This window comes from Homo sapiens, chromosome 8, assembly GCF_000001405.40.
Source record: "Homo sapiens chromosome 8, GRCh38.p14 Primary Assembly".
NCBI classification, from domain to species: Eukaryota; Metazoa; Chordata; class Mammalia; order Primates; family Hominidae; genus Homo; species Homo sapiens.
This window is the reverse complement of record NC_000008.11, coordinates 89,339,998-89,347,068: the sequence shown is the minus strand read 5'-3', so window position 1 is coordinate 89,347,068 and position 7,071 is coordinate 89,339,998. Positions and strand designations below refer to the sequence as shown.

Genomic DNA, 7,071 nt, shown 5'->3' with positions numbered 1-7,071 from the left:
CACTCTGCCTGGGAGTGGGCTCTTACTTAAAAACTGTATTTGTATGGTAGTCTTCTAAATGGAGTCTTTACCTCTATGCTTGGCCCTCTTCAATCAATTTTTTACACTGCTGCTAAAGTGATTTTTTGAAAACATAAATCTGAACATTGTGGTTAAGATCATGGGCTCTTGAATTAGACAGATCTAGATTTATACTAGTAATAATAGTTACTCACAATAACCTTGGACAAGTTGTTTAACCTCTTTAAGCCTCAATTTTGTCACTGGTAAATTGGGATAATAGTACCTATATCAGAGTGTTATCTTGAGAATCAAATAAGTAATTGATATGGTTTGGCTGTGTCCCCACCTAAATCTCATCTTGAATTGTGACTCCCACAATTCCCACATGTCAGGGGAGGAACATGGTGGGAAGTGATTGAATTATGGGGGCAGGTCTTCCCTGTGCTGTTCTTGTGATAGTGAATGAATCTCACGAGATCTGATGGTTTTAAAATGGGAGTTTCCCTGCACAAGCTCTCTCTTTGCCTGCCACCATCTATGTAAGATGTGACTTGCTCCTCCTTTCCTTCTGCCATGATTGTGAGGACTCCCTAGCCATGTGGAACTGTAAGTCCATTAAACCTCTTTCTTTTGTAAATTACCCAGTCTCGAGTATGTCTTTATCAGCAGCATGAAAATGAACTAATATAGTAATCTATTTAGCACAGTGCACTGCAAATAAATAGTACTCAATATATGGTTGCTTCCATTACCATGATTATTATTCTTATTGTCTTTGTTGATACTTACTATAGCTCTGTGTGGCTGAATTTCTTCAATGTTTTCTCATTGAGTTTATGATAAAATCTTAACCCTTGGGTGATATAGAAGGCTTTTTCTAATTATGTCTTGTTTGGCTTCTCTAACCTCATTTCCTGTAGTTTCCTTTCTCACTCTATCCTTCAGTCATAGTAAATTATTTACATTTTTTTCCCGCAGCACTCATTTATATTTCTTTCTCTTCTTTTTGTATTTCTTCAATATTTCTTGCATTAACTGTTGTTTTCCTGGCTAAATCCAATGCATTCTTGAATGTAAGGTTCTATTTTAATCTTTCCTAAAGAACTCCTCCTTCCACCATTTTTATCATAGTCTGTATCAAGTATCCTATTTACTCTGTTAATTTCTTGTGCACATATGAGTCTATCATACCATGCTATTCAACATATATGATTATCTTCCCCAATAGGCTGTGAATGTCTTGAAGCTACCCACAGGGTCCTATTAATCTTTGTGTTACCAATTTCCATCCAAAAATGGGCAAATAGTAGTTAGTATTCAAACATTGAATGGTATGCAGGTTTTAGATGTTCATAATGATGTTATTCCAACATGGTGCTGCATCACATTATTAATGATTATTTTAAAAAGAAATTGATTATTCAATACCTAAATGAGTTCCATAAGTAGAAAATTGTATAGTAGTTGAAAACTTGGTTTAAAAATTTCAAGGAAAGGGTGATATTTGAACTTTATGGTACAAGATTTGACTAAGTGAAAGAAACAGAAGCAGATATTTAGGAAAAAGGAACTATAAAAAAAGGACAGAAGGAACTAGTATATAGCAAATGTTCTCTGTGTGCTAAGCACCAAGTTGGCCCTGAGATAATGGTTTTTGTTAGTTACTTTTTCACTTAACTCTCACTTACTTTTTGAGATGGATAGCTGATAACGCTAATGGTCAAAAGATTTAAGTAAATCGATCATGTTCACACTGTGTTAGCTAGTGAAGATGGGATTCAAATACAATTCTGCCTGACTTTGAAGGATTGCTTTCTCCACAATGGGCTTATGCACCACATATAGAATGACCATGTGAAATCGGAACAATGAGAGTAAGTAATCCTGAATTTAGATTATGATAGAAATTCAAAGTCAGCCCAAGGAAGCATTTGGTATTCCCTATTAAGTAACTGTAACATTCTTTCAGCTCTCTATACAGTGGAATTGTAGAGGCTGTATCAAAATCAAGAACTGGCAAAAATGTACAGGAGGTCTGCTAATACTATCCTTTTCTGCACCCATGGTAGGCAATGCTATTAGATCATATGCTATTTCTTACTGGGCCTGGGTATAGCCTCAAAACTCTTATTAACGAATAGATATTCATTAGAAGATTTTAACTGATTTAGAACAATTTATTCTTCCTAGGATCACTTTAATTTTCTTATAGGGAATTACCACACCACCATTTTAAGCAAGCTGAATAAAATTGCAAATCAAATTAAACCATTATTTTTATGGAGGATGAAGGGTTTTCTAGAGGCTATAACAGGTTACTTCTGCCAGATCTTACTGCCTCAGTAGGACCAAAAATTGAGCATGTGACTTAAGCTTGACCAGACAAAAGCCTTCTGTTCAAAGAGTTAAAATCTCAAGCAAAGTTATTCAGGATTAAAGTAAGAAAAACAAAGAAACAACCCCACCCTGCTGTCCCCCCAAAGAAAAACCCCAAAACAACTACATTCCTTTCAGAGCAAAAACCCTAATGATTAGAGGCAGTAGAGGGTGACCTGCTACTTTTCTGGTTTCTTTTTTTATTTCTAAGCATCTTTTCTACCCTTCCTATTTATTCTTTGAGCTTTCTAATAATATTTTTCCAGTAAGGTTTTTTTTTATGCATAAGTTAGTCAGTCAATTTCTGTGGCTTGCAACCAAAAAAATCATAATCAATAGCATTCTTATTCAGTCAGAGTTGGCAGATGATTTAAAAATCAACAAGCCCATGATTTAATACCAATGGCATGTGGTGTAAATCTAATAGGATTTAAATATGGAAAATATGCTTGGTGTTTTTTATAATAGTCACATTGGCTAAGCTGAAACCATAGTTTCCAGAATTCTCTTGCCCATATGGTTCCAAGTTAGAGTTGGCCAAAAGAGAAAATTTTGTGAGATTTGGAAGGTAGAAGTGAATTCGAAGCCATTATGAGCTAAAGATCTTTGTGGTTACTAATAGTGAGAGACAGTTGCAGATGTGTCCTCATTCTTTTGTTCATATCTAGATCTTTTTCACAAATGTTGTCTCTGAACCAGAGACTCCAGACATAAAAATAAATGTAGAATCAGGAGCCTCCCATCTTATTTTCCACTACCTTTTCTTTATACTCCTATTCTGGCAGTTGGATATACCTGGTTTTCTGCATTCCTTGATAAACTCCAATTTGCCCACACATTCCAGTGCTTCAGAAAGACACTTCTCTCTAATCCTCTAACTTCTATTTTTGGTCTGTTATTCCAACTTCTCCATCAATGCATAAAGTTTTATTCCTATAATAAATCTTTTATTTCATAATACCCATGAAGATTATGTTTTCATGATTGAATCCTGACTGCTATAATTATTGGCATCCGAATTGTTTCCAGGAGATGAGAATAGTAAAGATAGTAATCTATAATTGGTTCTCTGGTTTTATCATATTTAAAGACATTCAAATGGAGGAATGGAGCAAGATAGCAGAATAGAAGGCTCCAGTGATCATCCCCCCCTGCCCTCCTAAGGCACTAATTTAACAACTACACAAAAGAAGCACCTTCATAAACACCAAAAATCAGGTGAGCATTCATGGTATCTGTTTTTAACTTCATATCACCGAAAGAGGCACTGAAGAAATAAGAAAAACAGTCTTGAATCCCCAACGCCACCCCTCCGCCATCCCCCAGCTGTGGCAGCATGCTGCAGAAAGCATTCCTGTTCTCTTGGGAGAGAGCATTTACACCAGCCCCACCTAGAGGGGAATCGTTAATCCTTCTGGTGGGAACTTGAGTTCCCTCAAGCCTCGCCACCACTGACTAAAGTTTCCTGAGACACAGAATAACTCCAATTTGCCCACACACTCCAGTGCTTCAGAAAGATCTTCTGAAAATGCCTTTCACTTTCAATTTTAAAGGCAGTTTAGTCCACAAGGATTGCATCTCCTGGGTGTTTCCTAGTGTGAAACTGGGCCCAGAGCCAGAGCACTGTGGGGCATGTGATCTACTGGGACACCAGTTGGGGAAGCTAAAAGAGTGCTGTCATCACTTCTCCCCTAACCCCAGGCTGCACAGCTCAAGGCTCTGAAAAAGACCCCTTTCTTCTGCTTGAGGAGAGGATGAGGAAGAGTGGGGAGGACTTCTTGCATCTTGAATAGCAGCTCAGACACAGCAGGATAGGGCCCTTGTCAGAGTCATGAGACCCCTTTTCCAGGCCCTAGCTCCTGGACAACATTTCTAGACATACCCTGGGCCAGAAGGGAACCCTCTGCCTTGATAGAAAGGATGCAGTCCTGGCAGGATTCATCACATGCTGACTGAAGAGCCCTTGGGCCCTGAATAATCAACCAGCAGTGATACCCAGGCACTACGTTGAAGGCTTTGAGTGACACTCTCAGACTTGCTGGCTTCAGGTGAGAATCAGCATATTCCTAGCTGTGGTGGCTATGGGGCAAACTCCTTCTATTTGAGAAAAGCAGAGGAAAAAGTAAAGGGGATTTTGACTTGCACCTTAGGTACGAGCTCAACCACAGAGGTGGAGAGCTCCAAGAAGGCTCTTGGGGTAATTGATTCTGGAATTGGCTCTTGAGTGGCATTTCTGGACCTGCCCTGAGCCAGAGGGGAGTACACTGCCCTGAAGGGTGAGTCCCAGGCCTGGCAGCATTCACCATAAGCTAACTTAGGAGCCCTTGGGCCTTAAGGGAACATCAGTGGTAGTCTGGCAGTAATTCCCAGGGACCTGTGGTGGTGGTGGCCATGGTGTGAGGTTCCACTGCCTTTGAAAGAGGAGGGAGTATGAGAAGGACTTCATCTTGTGGTTTGAGTGCCAGATGAGCCTCAACACAATAGAACACCAGGTGAACTTCTAAGGTTTTTGACTCTACTCCTGGGCTCCTGGACAACATCTCTGGACCCACTTGGAGCTTGGGGTGACTTGCTACTTTGAAAGAGACACAGGCCTTGCTGGCTTTGCCACCTGCTGATTGTGGAACGCCTGGATCCTCAGCAAACAGAGGGAGTAGTGAGGGAGTGATTATAGCAGGCCTGGGGCAAGACCCATTGTTATGCTGGCATTAGGTCTGACTCAGTGCATTCCCAGTGGTGGTGGCCACAGAGTGGCTTGTGTCTCTCTACCCCCAGGTCTGGGTGGCTGATAACAGAGAGAGAGACTCCATTTGTTTGAGGAGAAAGGGAGGGAAGAGAACAAAAGTCTCTTCCTGGTAATCCAGAGAATTCTCCCAGGCATAGTCTGAGACCATCAAGGTGGTACCTCTACAACTCTGCAAGAACCACAGTGTTGCTGGGCTTGGAGTACCCCGTAAAGCAGATACAGCTTAGATCATAACACCCAAGTTCTTTCAAATATCTGGAAAACCTTCCCAAGAAGTATAGTTACAAGCAAGCCCAGAATGCAAAGACTGCAGTAAATACCTATTTCTTCAATGCCCAAACACAGCTGAACATCTACAAGTTTCAAGACGATCCAGGAAAGCATGACCTCACCAAATCAACTGAATAAGCCAGCAAGGACCAATCCTAGAGAAACAGAGATATATGACCTCTCAGACAGATAATTCAAAATAGCTGTTTTGAGGAAACTCAAAGAAATTCAGGACAACACAGAGAAGAAATTCATAATTCTATCAGATAAATTTAACAGGCTGGTTGTGGTGGCTCATGCCTGTAATCCCAGAACTTTGGGAGGCTGAGGCGGGTATATCTTCTGAGGTCAGAAGTTTGAGACTAGCCTAGCCAACATGGTGAAGCTCTGTCTCTACTAAAAAAACAAAAATTATCTGGGTATGGTGATGCGTGTCTGTAATCTCAGCTACTCAGGAGGCTGAGGCAGAGGAATCGCTTGAACCCAGGAAGCAGAGGTTGCAGTGAGCTGAGATTGCTCCACTGCACTCCAGCCTGGGCAACAGAGTGAGACTCCATCTCAAAAAAAAAAAAAAAAAGTTAACAAAGAAATTGAAACAATTAAAAAGAATCAAGCAGAAAGTCTGGAGCTGAAAAATGAAATTGGCATACTAAATAATGCATCAGAGTCTTTTAATAGCAGAATGGATCAAGCAGAAGAATTAGTGAGCTTGAAAACAGGACATTTGAAAATACACAGAGGAGACAAAAGAAAAAATAAGAAAATATGAGGCATGCTTACAGGATCTAGAAACTAGCCTCAAAAGAGCAAATCTAAGAGTTATTGGCTTTAAAGAGGAGGTAGAAGAAGAGACAATGGTAGAGAATTTATTCAAAGGGATAATAACAGAGAACTTTCCAAACCTAGACAAAATATTAATATCCAAGTACAAGCAGGTTATAGAAAGCCAAGCAGAATTATCCCAAAGAAGACAAGGCATTTATTAAAGCATTTAATCAAAGATCAAGAATAAAGGAAGAATCCTAAAAGCGTCAAGAGAAAACAAACAAATAACACACTGGAGAACCAATACATCTGGCAGAAGACTTTTAGTGGAAACCTTACAGGCCAGGAGAGAATGGCAAAACATGTATAAAGTGCCAAGACCAAAAAAGGCAAAACAAAAAACAAACTTTTACCTTAGAATGTTACATCTGGTGAAACTATCCTTCAAACATGAAGGGGAAATAAAGACTTTCCCAGACCAACAAAAGTTGAGGAATTTCATCAACACCAGACCGGTCCTACAAGAAATGCTAAAGGGAGAACTTCAATCAGAAAGAAAAGGACATTAATGAGCAATGAGAAATCATCTGAAGGTAAAAAACTCATGGGTAATAGTAAGTGTACAGAAAAATACAGAATATTATAACACTATAACTATGGTATGTTAAGTATTCTTACCTTATGTAGAAAGATTAAATGATGAAACAAGCAAAAATAATAACTACAATGACTTTTCATGACATTGTACGATAAGATATAAATAGAAACAACAAAAAGTTAAAATGGGGGGGGAATGAACTTAAGGTGCAAGTTTTATATTAGTTTTCATTTTGCTTGTTTGTTTGCTTGTTTATTTATACAAACAGTGGTAAGTTGTTATAAGCTTAAAACAACGGGCTACAAGATAGTAT

General features: G+C 39.2%; 1 annotated feature.

Annotated features, from left to right (window-relative positions):
* Positions 4,750 to 5,266: an enhancer, noted in NCBI's record as "NANOG hESC enhancer chr8:90354032-90354548 (GRCh37/hg19 assembly coordinates)". NCBI's record gives its function as "activates a minimal SCP1, AML or CMV promoter by ChIP-STARR-seq in naive H9 embryonic stem cells {active_cell/tissue: H9 hESC(naive)}" and the evidence as "EXISTENCE:reporter gene assay evidence [ECO:0000049][PMID:30033119]".